Source organism: Homo sapiens, chromosome 20 (assembly GCF_000001405.40).
Source record: "Homo sapiens chromosome 20, GRCh38.p14 Primary Assembly".
Taxonomy (NCBI): Eukaryota; Metazoa; Chordata; class Mammalia; order Primates; family Hominidae; genus Homo; species Homo sapiens.
In genome coordinates this window covers 49,186,260-49,202,496 of record NC_000020.11, presented here as the reverse complement: position 1 = coordinate 49,202,496, position 16,237 = coordinate 49,186,260, and the positions used below count along the sequence as shown (strand labels likewise).

Here is a 16,237-nt window from a genome sequence, read left to right as displayed (position 1 = left end):
CACCTCCTGGGTTCAAGCAAGTCTCCTGCCTCAGCCTCCCCAGTAGCTGGGATTACAGGTGTGCACCACCAAGCCCGGCTAATTTTTATGTTTTTTAAGTAGAGATCGAGTTTTACCATGTTGGCCAGGCTGATCTCGAACTCCCGACCTCAAGAGATCTGCCCAGCTCGGCCTCCTAAAGTGCTGGGATTACAATGTGAGCCATCACGCCCGGTGTCCCAGCCTATTCTAGTTGATTCTTTCTTTCTTTCTTTCTTTCTTTCTTTTTTTTTTTTTTGAGATGGAGTCTCGCTCTGTCGCCCAGGCTGGAGTGCAGTGGCACGATGTTGGCTCACTGCAAGCTCCGCCTCCCGGGTTCACGCCATTCTCCTGCCTCAGCCTCCTGAGTAGCTGGGACTACAGGCACCCACCACCATGCCCAGCTAATTTTTTGTATTTTTAGTAGAGACGGGGTTTCACCGTGTTAGCCAGGATGGTCTCAATCTCCTGGCCTCGTGATCTGCCTGCCTCGGCCTCCCAAAGTGCTGGGATTACAGGCGTGAGCCACCGCGCCTGGCCTCTAGTTTCTTAAGGTAGAAAATTAGGTTACTGATTTGAGGCATTTCTTATTTTCTAATATAAACATTTAATGCTACAACTTTCCCTCTAAGTATTTCTTTAGCTGCATCTCCAAATTTCTGACATGTAATTTTGTCTTCATTCAGTTCACAATATTTTAATATTCCCCCCTCCCCATTTTTTTTTTTTTTTTTTTTGAGACAGAGTCTTGCCCTGTCACCCAGGCTGGAGTGCAGTGGTGTGATCTTGACTCACTGCAACCTCTGCCTCCCGGATTCAAGCGATTCTACTGCGTCAGCCTCCTGAATAGCTGGAATTACAGGTGCCTGCCACAACGCCCGGCTAATTTTTATATTTTTAGTAGAGATGGTGTTTTGCCATATTGGCCAGGGTGCTCTTGAACTCCTGATCTCAGGTGATCCTCCCGCCTCAGCCCCCCAAAGTGCTGGGATTACAAGCGTTAGTCACCATGCCCAGGCCAATATTCCCCATTTTTGTGAGAGACAAATTTACCAACTGGAGTACAGTGTCAATGTGCAGTTCTTTTGGCTTTTGCCTTAGCCAGTCAAAACACATTTTCCAAAGTTAATTAAGTCAGTGACTTTTTTTTCTCCCTTCCTCATCAATGACATTAGTTTGTCACAGTTTTCATTCCATCCTCGTATCCTCAGACATCCTTGTTTATTCTTAAATATTTGTGTACAATAAAGGTTACTGCATAAGGGTTTTGAAATATTCGGTCATATATCTACCATTTTAGTAGCATAGAGAACAGTTCCATCAACTTCCTTTCCCTTCCCCAGCCCTTGACAACCACTGATCTCACTGATCTGTTTTCTTTTCTTTTCTTTTCTTCTTCTTCTTCTTTTTTTTTTTTTTTTTTTTTTTTTTTTTGAGAGTGGGTCTTACTCTGTGCCCAGGCTGAAGTGCAGAGTGCAGTGGCATGATCACGGCTCACTGCAGCTTCAGTCCCCCAGGCTTAAGTGATCCTCCTGCCTCAGCCTCCTGAGCAGCTGAGACTACAGGCGTGCACCACCATACCTGGCTACTTTTTGTGGGTTTTTTTGGTAGAGACGGCATCTCACTATATTGCCCAGGCTGGTCTCAAACTCCTGGGCTCAGGTGATCCTCCCTCCTGGGCTTCCCAAAGTGCCACTGCACTGGGCCTGATGTATTTGCTGTCCCTATAATTTTACCTTTTCCAGAATGCCATAGAAATGGAAGCAAACAATATGGGGGCTTTTGGGTCTAAGTTTTTTCCACCTAGAGAGATGCAATTAAAGCTTATCCATGTTGTTTCATGGACACAGCTCCTGTTTGTTTGTTTGTTTTTTTTTTGAGACGGAGTCTTGCTCTGTCGCCCAGGCTGGAGTGCAGTGGTGCGATCTCGGCTCACTGCAAGCTCCGCCTCCCAGGTTCATGCCATTCTCCTGCCTCAGCCTCCCGAGTAGCTGTGACTACAGGCGCCCGCCACCACGCCCAGCTAAATTTTTTTTGTATTTTTAGTAGAGACGGTGTTTCACCCTGTTAGCCAGGATGGTCTCGATTTCCTGACCTTGTGATCCGCCCGCGTCGGCCTTCCAAAGTGCTGGGATTACAGGCGTGAGCCACCGCACCTGGCCGCTCCTGTTCTTTATTATTACTGAGTTGGATTCCATTTTACAAATGTACCAGTTTGTTTATCCAGTCACCTGTTGAAGGACATTTTGATTGTCTCCAGGTTTTGGCTCTTATGAATTAAGCTACTATAAACATGGGTGTAAGATTTTAGTGTGAATATAAGTTTTTAATTAAGTTGTGTAAACACCTAGGACTGGGACTGCTGGGTTGTATGATAAGTATATCTTAAACTTTGTAAGAAACTGCCAAACTGTCATACCAGGTGGCTGTACCATTTTGCATTCCCATCAGCAATGAATAAGAGTTCCTGGCTGGGTGCAGCAGTTCACACCTGTAACCCCAACACTTTGGGAGGCCAAGGTGGGAGGACCTCTTGAGGCCACGAGTTGCAGACCAGCCTGGGCAATATAGTGAGATCCCATCTCTACAAATTATAAAAAAATATGGCCGGGTGCAGTGGCTGACATCTGTAATCCCAACACTTTGGGAAGCTGAGGCAGTTGGATCACCTGAGGTCTGGAGTTCAAGACCAGCCTGGCCAATGTGGTGAAACCCCGTCTCTACTAAAAAATACAAAACTTAGCTGGGCGTGGTGGCAGGCGCCTGTAATCCCAGCTACTCGGGAGGCTGAGGCAGGAGAATCACTTGAACCTGGGAGGCAGAGGTTGCAGTGAGCCAAGATCGCACCACTGCACTCCAGCCTGGGCAACAGAGCAAGACTCTGTCTCAAAAAAATAAGTAAATAAAAGAAAAATAAAATAAAAATAAAAATAAAGAATAAAATAAACATGGCCGGGCGCGGTGGCTCAGGCCTGTAATCCCAGCACTTTGGGAGGCCGAGGTGGGCGGATCACAAGGTCAAGAGATTGAGACCATCCTGGCCAACATGGTGAAACCCCATCTCTACTAAAAATACAAAACTTAGCTGGGCGTGGTGGCGCATGCCTGTAGTCCCAGCTACTCGGGAGGCTGAGGCAGGAGAAGCACTTCAACCCAGGAGGTGGAGGTTGCAGTGAGCCGAGATCGCGCCACTGCAATCCAGCCTGGCAACAGAGCGAGACTCCATCTCAAAATAAAAAAAATCAGCCAGGCGTGATGGTATGCACCTGTAGTCCAAAAAGTTCCAGTTGCTCTACATTCTCCTATTTGGTGTTGTCCGTTTTGTTTTGTTTCGAGATGGAGTCTCTCTCTGTTGCCCAGGCTGGAGTGCAGTGGCACGATCTCGGCTTACTGCAACCTCTGCCTCCCGGGTTCAAGTGATTCTCCTGCCTCAGCCTCCCGAGTGGCTGGGATTACAGGTGCCCACCACCACGCCCAGCTAATTTTTGTATTTTTTTGGCGGGGGGGCAGGGGGACGGGGTCTCATCTTGTTCTGTCACCCAGGCTGGAGTGTAGTGGCACGATCTTGGCTCACTGCAACCTCTGCCTCCTGGGTTCAAGCGATTTTCCTGCCTCAGCCTCAAAAGTAGCTGGGACTATAGGCACATGCCACCATGCCCAGCTAATTTTTTGTATTTCTAGTAGAGACAAGGTTTCACAGTGTTAGTCAGGATGGTCTTGATCTCCTGACCTCGTGATCTGCCCGCCTCGGCCTCCCAAAGTGCTGAAATTACAGGCGGGAGCCACAGTGCCTGGCCATTTTTGTATTTTTAGTAGAGATGGAGTTTTATCATGTGGGCCAGGCTAGTCTTGAATTAGTGACCTCAAGTGATCTGTCTGTCTTGGGCTTCCAAAGTGCTGGGATTCCAGGCATAAGCCACCATGCCCATCCCATTCTTATTTTTATATATTATTTCTTTATTTTTTATTTGTAAGATGGAGTCTTGCTGTGTTGCCCAGGCTGGAGTGCAGTTGCATGATCTCAGCTTACTACAACCTCCACCTGCTGGGTTCAAGTCATTCTCCTGACTCAGGCTCCTGAGTAAACTGGGATAACAGGCACACACCCAGCTAATTTTTCTATTTTTAGTAGAGACAGGGTTTCACCAGGTTGATCAGGCTGGTTTTGAACTCCTGACCTCATAATCTGCCCACCTCGGCCTCCCAAAGTGCTGGCATTACAGTCGTGAGCCACCGCGCCCGGCCTATTTTTATTTTTAATTTTAGACATTCTAATAAATGTGTAATGGTATATCCCATGTGTATGTATATGTGTGTTTTATTTGCATTTCCTAATGACATCTTTTTATATGCTCATTTGCCACTCATATACTTTTATAAACTTCTGTGGCAAAATGTCTGTACAGATCTTTTGCCCATTTGTTTTTCTTATTGCTAAGCTGTAAGAGTTCTTAATATATTCCAGATATGGCTGGGCAGTGTGGCTCACGCCTATAATCCCAGCACTTTTGGTAGGCTGAGGCCAGAGGATTTCTTGAGGCCAGGAGTTAGAGACCAGCCTGAGCAACATAGTGAGCCCCTTGTCTCTAATAAGAATTAAAAAAAATGAGTTGGCGGTGGTGGTGTGCACCTGTATTCCCAGCTACTTGGGAGGCTGAGGCAGGAAGTTTGCTTCAACCTAGGTGTTTGAGGCTGCAGTGATCCAAGATCAAGCTATCCAGACTGGGCAACAGAACAAGATTCTGACTGGAAGAAAAAAATAAAAATGAAAATCGTAGGCCCAGCACCGTGGCTCATGACTGTAATTCTAGCACTTTGGGAGGCCGAGGAGGTTGGATCACGTGAGGTCGGGAGTTCGAGACCAGCCTGGGCAACATGGCAAAACCCCCGTCTCTACTAAAAATACAAAAATTAGCTGGGCCTGGTGGCACATGCCTGTAATCCCAGCTACCCGGGAGGCTGAGGCAGGAGAAGCAGTGGAACCCGGCAGGCAGAGGTGGAGTGAGCTGAGATCGCGCCACTGCACTCCAGTCTGGGCAACAGAGCAAGACTCCATCGCAAAAAAAAAAAAAGAAAAGAAAAAGAAAAGAAAATTATGTATATGTATATATGTATGTATTCCAAATACAACTTTTTATTTTACAAATGTTTTCTCCAAATCTGCGACTTGCTTTTTCATTCTCTTTATGGGGTCCTTCCTCGTTTTTTTTTTTTTTCTTAACTACTGATCATTATTCTATTGTATGAATATGTCATGACTTATTTAGCCAAGCTTAGGTTGATGGACATTGATGTTATTTTGTTTTATTTTATTTTATTTTTTGGAGACAGAGTCTCACTCTGTCACCCAGGCTGGAGTGCAGTGGTGCGATCTCGGCTCACTGCAACCTCCACCTCCCGCGTTCAAGCTATTCTCCTGCCTCAGCCTCCCGAGTAGCTGGGACTACAGGTGCATGCCGCCACGCCTGGCTAATTTTTTTGTATTTTAGTAGAGACGTTTCACCATGTTGCCCAGGCTGGTTTTGAACTCCCGAGCTCAGGCAATCCGCCTGCCTCGGCCTCCCAAAGTGCTAGGATTACAGGCGTGAGCCACCACGTCCGAACCATTGATGTTATTTCTAAACTTTTGTTATTACAAACTGTGCTTCTGTTAATATCCTTGAATTCACGTTGCTGTTTCTTTTTTTTTTTTTTCTTTTTTTCCTTTTTGAGACAGAGTCTCGCTGTCACCCAGGCTGGGGTACTGTGGTGCCATGTCTGTTCACTGCAGCCTGCAGCCTCCGGCTCCTGGGTTTCAACGATTCATGATTCTCCCCTCGAGAGGAGCTGGGATTACAGGCATGCGCCACCACGCCGGGCTATTTTTATTTCGTCATGTTGGCCACGCTGGTCTCAAACTCCTGAGCTCAGGAGATCTGCCGGCCTCGGCCTCCCAAAGTGCTGGGATTACAGGCGTGAGCTGCCACACCTGGCCTCATGTTGCTATTTCTTTTCTTTCTTTTCTTCTTCTTCTTCTTCTTTTTTTTTTTTTTTTGTTTTGTTTTGAGACGGAGTCTCGCTGTCGCCCAGGCTGGAGTGCAGTGGCGCGATCTCAGTTCACTGCAGGCTCCGCCCCCCGGGGTTCACGCCATTCTCCGGCCTCAGCCTCCCGAGTAGCTGGGACTACAGGCGCCCGCCACCTTGCCCGGCTAATTTTTTGTATTTTTAGTAGAGACGGGGTTTCACTGTGTTAGCCAGGATGGTCTTGATCTCCTGACCTCGTGATCCGCCCGCCTCGGCCTCCCAATGTGCTGGGATTACAGGCGTGAGCCACCGCGCCCGGCCTCTTTTTTTCTCTTTCTTTCTTTTTTTTTTTTAGATGGAGTCTTGCTTTGTCGCCCAGGCTGGAGTGCAGTGGTGTGATCTCGGCTCACTGCAACCTCCGCCTCCTTGGGTTCAGGCTATTCTCCTGACCTCAAGTGATCCACCCGCCTCGGCCTCCCAAAGTGCCAGGATTACAGGCATGAGCCAGCGGCCCAGCCATTACGTTGTTGTTTCTTTGTTTTTTTTTTTTCTTTTTTCTTTTTTTTTTTTTTTTTTTGAGAGGAAGTTTCACTCTTGTTGCCCAGGCTGGAGTGCAATGGCGCTATCTCACTGCAACCTCCGCCTCCTGGGTGCAAGCAATTCTCCTGCCTCAGCCTCCCAAGTAGCTGGAATTACAGGCATGTGCCACCATGCCTGGCTAATTTTGTATTTTTAGTAGAGACGGGGTTTTTCCATGTTGGTCAGGCTGGTATCAAATTCCCAGCCTCAGGTGATCTGCCCACCTTGGGCTCCCAAAGTGTTGGGATTACAGGCGTGAGCCACGGCGCCCAGCCTACATTGTTATTTCTAAGAACCATTTGTTTTTCCTTTCCCATGAACTGTCTGTTGCTATCTTTTTTTTTTTTTTTTTTTTTTTTTTGAGACGGAGTCTTGCTCTGTCGCCCAGGCTGGAGTGCAGTGGCACGATCTCGGCTCACAAAGCTCCGCCTCCCGGGTTCACGCCATTCTCTTGCCTCAGCCTCCCGAGTAGCTGGGACTACAGGCACCTGCCACCACACCTGGCTAATTTTTTTGTATTTTTAGTGGAGACGGGGTTTCACCGTGTTAGCCAGGATGGTCTTCATGTCTTGACTTCGTGATCCGCCTGCCTCGGCCTCCCAAAGTGCTGGGATTACAGGCGTGAGCCACAGCGCCCAGCCTGTTGCTATCTTTTAATCATTTTTCATTGGGTTGTTAATCATTCTGCTATTCAAAGTAATTCCTTACATGTCATGAAATTTGTGAAATCATCCTCTCTGAGATGCAAATTTTTTCCAGTTTATCATTTGTCTTTGTATTTCCTCTTATCACATTTTTTATTTTCCTGAGTCAATGAATTGATCTTTTCCTTTAAGGATTCCGAATTTTGTGTTATAGTTAAAAGAGTCTTCTCCACTTCAGAGTGATACAAACATTCTTGCAGGAATTCTTCTGGTACTTTTATGGTTTCCCGTTATTATTATTTTTTTTTTTACTTTGACACAGGGTTTCACTGTTGCCCAGGCTGGAGTGCAGTGGTGAGATCATAGCTCATTACAAGCTGACAGGGTGGCTCATGCCTGTAATTCCAACACTTTGGGAGGCTGAGGTGGGTGGATCACTTGAGGTCAGGAGTTGGAGACCAGCCTGGCCAACAGAGTGAAACCCCATCTCTGCTGAAAATGCAAAAATAAGCCAGGTGTAGTGGTGTGCGCCTGTAATCCCAGCTACTTGGGCTGCCGAGGCACGAGGAATTGCTTGAACCCAGGAGGTGGAGGTTGCAGTGAGTTGAGATCGTGCCACTGCACTGCAGTCTGGGCGACAGAGCGAGACTCTGTCTCAAAATAATAATAGTAATAATAATAGTTCTCTGCAGCCTCGAACTCCTGGGCTCAAGCAATCCTCCCACCTTGGCCTCCCACAGTGCTGGGATTATAGACATGGGTGACCATGCCTGGCCAGTTTCCTTTCTTTTTTCTTTTTCTTTTCTTTTTTTTTTTTTTTTTTGAGACGGAGTTTCGCTCTTGTTGCCCTGGCTAGAGTGCAATGGCACGATTTTGGCTCACTGCAACCTCTGCCTCCCAGGTTCAAGTGATTCTCCTGCCTCAGCCTCCTGAGTAGCTGGGATTACAGGCGTGCGCCACCATGCCCAGCTAATTTTGTATTTTTAGTAGAGACGGGGTTTCTCCATGTTTCTCAGGCTGGTCTCTCAAGTCCCAATCTCAGGTGATCTGCCCGCCCTGGCCTCTCAAAGTGCTGGGATTACAGGTGGGAGCCACAGTGCCCAGCCCAGTTTCCTTTCTTCTATTTAAATATTTGATCAATTTGGTATGTTCCCTGGTATGTAATATGAAGTACACATTTAATTCCCCCTGCCCCAGAAGCTACCTTGTTGTCTCAAAGTATTTATAAAATGAAATCTATCTTTTCCTCACCAATTTGAAATACCACTTTTTTTTTTTTCTTTTTTCTGAGATGGAGTCTCTGTTGCCCACAGTGGAGTGCATTGTGGCGATCTCTGCTCACTGCAAGCTCCGCCTCCCGGGTTCACGCCATTCTCCTGACTCAGCCTCCTGAGTAGCTGGGACTACAGCCACCCGCCACCACGCCTGGCTAAGTTTTTGGATTTTTTAGTAGAGACGTTGTTTCACTGTGTTCGCCAGGATGGTCTTGATCTCCTGACCTCGTGATCCGCCTGCCTTGGCCTCCCAAAGTGCTGGGATTACAGGGCGTGAGCCACCGCGCCCGGCCCGTTTTTTTGAGACGGATTCTTGCGCTGTTGCCAGGCCCAGGCTGGAGTTGCAGTGGTATGATATTGGCTCAGTGCAACCTCCGCCTCCCGCGTTCAAGCGATTATCCTGCCTCAACCTCCTGAGTAGCTGGGACTACAGGTGGGCACCATCACGCCCAGCTACTTTTTGTATTTTTAGTAGAGATGGGGTTTCACCATGTTTGCCAGGATGGTCTCTATCTCTTGACCTTGTGATCCCCTGGCATTGGCCTCCCAAAGAACTCGGATTACAGGTGTGAGCTACCGGCCCGGCCTTTTTTTTTTCTTTAGAGACAGAGTCTTGCTCTGTTGGCCAGGCTGCAGTGCAGTGGTGTGATCTCGGCTCACTGCAACCTCCACTTCCTGGGTTCAAGCGATTCTCGTGCCTCAGCCTCCCCAGTAGCTGGGATTACAGGCGCCTGCCACCATGCCCAGCTAATTTTTCTATTTTTAGTAACGATGGGATCTCACCATGTTGGCCGGGCTGATCTCAAACTCCTGACCTCAAGTGATCCGCCCACCTTGGCCTCCCAAAGTGCTGGGATTACAGGCGTGAGTCACTGCACCCAGCCTTGAAATACCACTTTTACTGAGTATTAAATTCATACATGTGTTTGTGTCTATCTGGAAATATCTCTTCCATTGATTGTGGAACTAATCAGGCACTAGCATCTAACTATTTTAATTGGTAATGCTTTACCAATAGTATGTTTGCTATTTGGTCAGGAGTTTTCAGAAAGTTCTTGGTTATTTTTCTTATTAATTTTTCCATAAGACTTTAGACATGGCTCATAGAGATCCAAAACAAAATCCTGTTTGTTATTTTTCTTGGGATCTCATTCAATGTCTTTTTAAATTTTAATGTATTTTTTGAGTCAGGGTCTCACTCCAAGCCTGGAGTGCAGTGGTGCAATCACAGCTCACTGCAGCCTCAACCTCCTGGGCTCACGCGATTCTCCCACTTCAGCCTCCCAAGTAGCTGGGGCCACAGGCACATGCCACCACACCCGGCTAATTATTTTTGTACTTTTTTTGTAGAGTTGGGATTTTGCCACGTTGGCCAGGCTGTCCTTCAATGTCTTGATCAACTGATATCTTAATGATCTGGATGGAACCTTCCTAGCCAATACCATAACCTGTATTTCTCTTTGTTCAAGTCTTTTTCTGTATTCTTTTGCAGAATTAAACATTTTTTCTTCACACAGATTGTGCATATTTCTTGTAAAGTTTATTTCTAGGTATTTTTATTTTTCCACTGCTTTGTAAATGGGATCTTCCATTATATCTTTTTTCTCTTGTTTTTTCTTTTTTTTTTTTTTTTGAGATGGAGTCTCGCTCTGTTTCCCAGGCTGCAGTGCAGTGACTCGATCTCAGCTCACTGCAAGCTCTGCCTCCTGGGTTCACGCCATTCTCCTGCCTCAGCCTCCCGAGTAGCTGGGACTACAGGTGCCTGCCACCACGCCCAGCTAATTTTTTGTATTTTTAGTAGAGATGGGGTTTCACCATGTTAGCCAGGATGGTCTCGATCTCCTGACCTCATGATCTGCCCTCCTCGGCCTCCCAAAGTGCTGGGATTACAGGCGTGAACCACCGTGCCCAGCCTCATTTTGTTTTTTGAGATGGAGTCTCGCTCTCTTGCCTAGGCTGGAATACAGTGGCGTGATCTCAGCTCACTGAAACCTCTGCCTCCCAGGTTCAAGTGATTCTCCTGCCTCACATGCCCGAGTACCTGGGACTAAAGTTGCATACCACCACGGCTGGCTAATTTCTGTATGTTTAGTAGCGATGGGGTTTCACCATGTTGGCCAGGCTGGTCTCGAACTCCTGACCTCAAGAGATCCGCCTGCCTTGGCCTCCCAAAGTGCTGGGATTACAGGTGTAAGCCACTGCGCCCGGCCCCATTATATTTTTATGTCTTCTAATTGTTGCTCTTAGATTCTGATATATCCCTAGGAGTGCAGGCTACCTCAAATAAGCTTGGGAATTACTTATTTAGGCCAGCAAGTAGTTCTCAACCTTGTTCTCCTGTGCTACACATACCACAGGTGACCCTGACATACACCAATCAACCCTACAGGTGTTCCCTGTTTCTTAGGGACTTGCGCAGAGATAAGCAAGGCTGTAATTTTTCAGCAGTCTACGGAAATTTATCATGTACTATTGTGTCCCTGGCACTGTGTTATGGGCCAGGGACCATCATGACTACTAAGACAGGCTGAGTCTCTGCTGTCATGGAAGTTGATCACTTAGTTCTAGCCTAATAGATATACTCAACAGATAATTGAAAATTATAAGGGTGCAAAGTTCTACTAAGAGGCTATGAGAGTGGAACAGATAATTCATCAGAGGTTAACATTCACACTTGTAATCCCAGCACCTTGGGAGGCCGAGGCGGGTGGATCACCTGAGGCCAGGAGTTCGAGACCAGCCTGGCCAACATGGCGAAACCCCGTCTGTACTAAAAACACAAAAATTACAGGGCATGGTGGCAAGCGCCTGTAGTCTCAGCTACTCGGGAGGCTGAGGCAGGAGAATTGCTTGAGCCCGGGAGGTGGAGGTTGCAGTGAGCCGAGATCGCGCCACTGCACTTTAGCCTGGGTGACTGAGGGAGACTCTGTCTCAAAAAAAAAAAATAATTAAAAATAAAAATAAATGTCTCACAGGGCTTTTATGAGCTTTGCATCAGAGAGCCGAGATCACACCATTGCACTTCAGCTTGGGCAACAGAGTGAGATTCTGTCTCAAAAAAAAAAAAAAAAAATTCAGCATCTCACAGGGCTTTTATGAGTTTTGCATGTTCCCATTCCTTAGTACAGATGCACATAATTTATCTTGTGAGAAGGAACACACATAATTTATCGTAACATACTTAATGCTCACAGTTTCTTGTGAACCAAGAACACACAGCTTCCATCTTTTTCTCAAGGTAAAGAAAAATGATTCCTTAATTACTTAGCAAGACTCAAGAGGTCTTCAGGACCTTGGAAGAGAACTTGACTGATAGTTTCTAGGTACAAACAGAAGAAAACAAATCTAGGTGACCTACTCCTGGTCAGGTATGGTGGCCCACACCTGGAATAATCCCCCCAGTACTTTGGAAGATTGAGGCAAGAGGATTGCTTGAGCCTAGAATTTGAGACCAGCCTGGTCAACTTAGTAACTTAGTAAGACCCTGGGCAACTTAGTAAAACCCTGTCTCTATAAAAAATTAAAAAATTAGCTGGGAGTGGTGGCACATGCCTGTGGTCCCAGCTACTCAGGAGGCTGAGGTAGGAGGATTTCTTGAGCTCAGGAGGTTGAGGCTGCAGTTAGCTGTGCTCATGCCACTGCACTCTAGTTAGGTGACAGAGCGAGACCCTGTCTCAAGAAAAAAACAAAAAAGATGCGGAAGGAGGAAAGAGGGAAGAAAATTGAGACTGGAAGTCATAGACCCACCACTTTTGTCCCTATGGGTGATAGCAAAATCACCTTTGACGAGATTGTCTGATTGTGCGCAGCTTTGGGTTTAGGGAGACCTCTCTGCATCTGCTCCTTTACCCAAGGAGGTATGGGATCCACACTGCTTGGAAGTTAGAAAGAAAAGATCACTTTTAGCAGAGGGCTGGACAATATCTGAATGTTGCTTACTACTGTCTTGGATGGGCACTAAAGGGACGGTGAAAGTCCTTTGACTATTTTTGGTGTTCTGAAATTCAGTGTCATTGCACTTCACAAGAAGCAATGTAAGGAGGCAAGTGTCCTCCCAGGCTTCGCTAAGGCTCCAAAGCCTTGTTTGGAGGGGCCTCTTCAGACACAGCAGCTCGTATTTTGAATTTATATTCCGTTGGCAAGAGAGATTGAGCAATTATTAGATTGAGAGACATTTAAGAAAGAGAGAATTATTTTTAAATAGTGGGGCGGCAGTCCCAGAGTGAGCGGGAGAGAGAAGCTCTGTGCACCTGCAGTTCCTTCATTCATTCTCAGTTTCTTGGACCTCTCACAACGCGAGCATAATTTTCGCTGAGTGTGCAGAAGTTCAAGATTCTTTTTTTTTTTTTTTTTTTTTTTGAGACAGAGTCTCACTCTGTTGCCCAGGTTGGAGTGCAATGGCGTGATCTCGGCTCACTGCAACCTCCGTCTCCCGGGTTCAAGAGATTCTCCTGCCTCAGCCTCCCAAGTAGCTGTGATTACAGGCGCCCACCACTGCATCCGGCTAGTAGAGACGGGGTTTCACCATGTTAGTCAGGCTGGTCTCGAACTCCTGACCTCAGGTGATCCGCCCACCTCGGCCTCCCAAAGTGCCGGGATTACAGGCGTGAGCCACTGCGCCTGGCCAAGATTCTTTACTGGCCACCCTCTCTCCAACCTCCCATACAATACAGCTGCTAAAAACCACTTAGTTTATCTAGGTCTGGGTGAAATAAATAGTAATCTGGCACTTCTCGTCTTTTTTTTTTTTTTTTTTTTTTTTTTTTTTTTTTTTTTTGAGACCAGTGTCTCTTTGTCGCCAAGGCTGGAGTGCAGCGGCGCGATCTCAGCTCACTGCAATCTCCGCCTCCCGGGTTCAAGCGATTCTCCTGCCTCAGCCTCCCGAGTAGCTGTTTACCTACAGGCGCCCGCCACCACGCCCGGCTAATTTTTTGTATTTTCAGTAGAGACGGGGGTTTCACCGTGGTAGCCAGGATGGTCTCGATCTCTTGACCTAGTGATCCGCCCGCCTCGGCCTCCCAAAGTGCCGGGATTAGAGGCCTGAGCCAACGCGCCCGGGCCATTGTCTTTTATCTCACTACACATTTTTCAATTTTATTTATTGTGTATTTTACTTACACAAGAATGTAAGCTCCACGAGGGCAGGGATTTTTGTCAGTTCACCACTACATTCTTAGCTCTTGGAGCAATGCCTTGCATATGGCAAGCATTTAATGAACATTTACAGATGGAGGAAGAAACAACTGCAGGAAGGAGAGAAAGGAAGGCCAGAGGCAGGACAAGAGGAAGAAGCGACAGCAAGGAAGGAAAAAGGAAGTGGAGGAGGAAAGAAGGTAGGCTGGGTTCTCCCAGACCCGCTTCGAGTCCAGCAGGCAGCGCGAAACTCCCACCAGAACTACAACTCCCGGCAGGCCCCGGGACTCAGGACGGGCCGCTGCGGTCCAGGCGGGACAGGGCGCTCCTCCCGCTGGGCCCCCGGCGTGCCTTGCGAGCGCAGGCTCCGCCGCAGTGCCAGCCGGAACTTGTGGTTCGGACCGTGGGTGGGGGTGGGGCCGGGGCCGGGCCTGGAGGCGGGCGGGGGCCGGGGGCGGGCGCCTGCCCCTCCCCCGTCACTTCCTGCCGGGCTGCGGGCGCCTGAGCGGCTCTTCAGCGTTTGCGCCGGCGGCTGCCGCGTCTCTCTCGGCTCCCGCTTCCTTTGACCGCCTCCCCCCCCCGGCCCGGCGGCGCCCGCCTCCTCCACGGCCACTCCGCCTCTTCCCTCCCTTCGTCCCTTCTTCCTCTCCCTTTTTTCCTTCTTCCTTCCCCTCCTCGCCGCCACCGCCCAGGACCGCCGGCCGGGGGACGAGCTCGGAGCAGCAGCCAGGTGAGGCGGCCGGGCCGGGCCGGGCCTGGTGGGGCCCTCGCGGGCGCCGCCGCGGTGGGGAGGTGGGCGGCGGGTGGGGCCTAGGCCTCGGCGGGCCCGCGCACCCCTCCGCCTTCTCCCGGGCCTCTCTCTAGCCCGCGGGGCCTTCCCGGAGGAGGCGGGTCCTCTTGCGTTCCCTCGCCTCGGGGCGCCCTGAGGCCTGGCCCCGGGCGCCCCCATCCCCTCCAGCCCTCACCGGTGCCACAAACAGGTGCTGCGGCCGCCTTTCCTCGTCCCGCATGGCGCGCGCGGGGATGCCGAAGTTATTCCCGGGGCTGGGGCGCAGGCGGGGGGGGGGGGGGGTCCCTGCTTCAGGTCCCCGAGGGCTGGAGCCTCTCAGTGTCGCCGGCCCAGGTCTGTAGCTTAGTGGTTAAGAGCACGGCCCAGGTGTCCAAAACGGGTGCCGAACCCGGCTCTGCCCCGTTAGGCAAGACACTTAAAAAGTCTTTGTGTCTTGGTTGGAAAAGGGGCTGCTAATACCGTCCCTGCCTCTTAAGGTTCAGTGAAATGGGGCGTGTAAAGCGCTTATCAGAGTGCCAGACCCACAGCGTGTCCCAGTAAACCGTCTGCATAATTTATTAGCGTGATATGAAGGTATAATTTAATGGGCAGAGTGGATAGAAGTTGACCTACCTATCCGTTTGGGTTTCTTAGAGGCTGCAGTGTTCCGCGTGCCCATGTCCAGAGCCAGGGCATTGTTTTCAGTTGTTAACATCTGAAAGGGGCGTACGCTTAATTGGGACACTGTAGTTGACAGTCTGTAAACGATGGATGCTGTTTCTTTCCATCTCCGCTTAGGCAACTGCAGGATATTCACCATCTCCCGCAGGATGAGCAACCTGTCCATTTCTCCCCGCCCCGCCATCATCCAGCTTCTTCTTGTCATTCCATTTCTGGGAAAGTTGCTGGCAGAAGCTTCCCTTGAGTTGAGCAAACCTATCTAGAGCACTTGCTGTGTGTTGGGCTCTGAAGGGGGGTGTACGGAGATGGAAAAATTTGTCTGTCTTGTCTTGCTCTACACCTCGATAAGTTTTTTTTCACGGAAGCTTTGCTTATATTCACCCCTCCCTGTTGGCTGACTTTCCTTTTAAGCCCTTGCCCCGCCTCCGTGTTGCAGTATTGCTTGTGTGGAAGTTTTCTTCTGTTCCGCGAAGATACGTGCTTCAGTCTGTTCTGCCACTGTTCTTCGGCTGTGTGGAAGTTTTTAAGGTCACACTTCTCTTCTGCTTGTAGCTTTCATTGTTAAGAGCGTGGTGGAGTTAAATCAGGTTCCCGGTTGATTTTGGCGTTTCAGGAATCCGTGCTTACCAAGTGTAAATTGCATTGCTACTTGTTGAGGTAAAAACTAAAAATACAGTTGGAGTGTAGAGGGAGCAGTTTCGGTTATCCTGGTGACAGGTGGGATTTTTAGAACAGCAACTTTACTAAAACATACTGGGTTTTTAAAAATTCTGTACTTAGTTTTATAGGTGTACTCTAAGGAAATGCAACTTATGGGTGTTCAATTTTATATGAGTAAGGAGTGTGTGTTTACCTGAGTGATCCTCCTGTATCTTAGGATTGTTTTAGGCATTAAATTTCCTTAGTGAACTGAAACTATTTTGATTTATACCCATCTCTTAACACACATGCGGCAAAGTGGCCTCCTTGTTTTTGACATTTTCCTAGAATTTTCTGACAGTCTTACCATTGTTTGTAATTTAAAATGTTTGTTTGAATTTTTTTTTTTTTTTGAGACAGTCTCACGCTGTCGCCCAGGCTGGAGTGCAGTGGCGCGATTTCGGCTCATTTCAACCTCTGCCACCCTGGTTCAAAAG

At 48.4% G+C, this 16,237-nt stretch overlaps 1 protein-coding gene across 25 annotated transcripts in view, besides 3 other annotated features; it reads left to right on the top strand.

The window, feature by feature from the left end:
* Positions 1-16,237, top strand: part of STAU1 (staufen double-stranded RNA binding protein 1) — a 105,957-nt gene that overhangs the window by 16,799 nt on the left and 72,921 nt on the right. For 17 of the 25 annotated variants that reach the window (NM_017454.4, NM_001322927.2, NM_001322930.2 and 14 more), the window contains exon 1: positions 14,163-14,381. The gene's annotated coding sequence lies outside the window, so the exon portion shown is untranslated. Of the gene's footprint in view, positions 1-13,745; positions 13,852-14,162; positions 14,382-15,535; positions 15,759-16,237 lie in introns of those variants that run through there. The other 8 variants (XM_047440418.1, XM_047440415.1, XM_047440422.1 and 5 more) reach the window with 4 other exon arrangements.
* Positions 13,890-14,559: a silencer, noted in NCBI's record as "silent region_12994". NCBI's record gives its function as "represses an Ori minimal core promoter by ATAC-STARR-seq in GM12878 lymphoblastoid cells {active_cell/tissue: GM12878}" and the evidence as "EXISTENCE:reporter gene assay evidence [ECO:0000049][PMID:35858748]".
* Positions 14,790-14,949: a silencer, noted in NCBI's record as "silent region_12993". NCBI's record gives its function as "represses an Ori minimal core promoter by ATAC-STARR-seq in GM12878 lymphoblastoid cells {active_cell/tissue: GM12878}" and the evidence as "EXISTENCE:reporter gene assay evidence [ECO:0000049][PMID:35858748]".
* Positions 15,350-15,419: an enhancer, noted in NCBI's record as "active region_18055". NCBI's record gives its function as "activates an Ori minimal core promoter by ATAC-STARR-seq in GM12878 lymphoblastoid cells {active_cell/tissue: GM12878}" and the evidence as "EXISTENCE:reporter gene assay evidence [ECO:0000049][PMID:35858748]".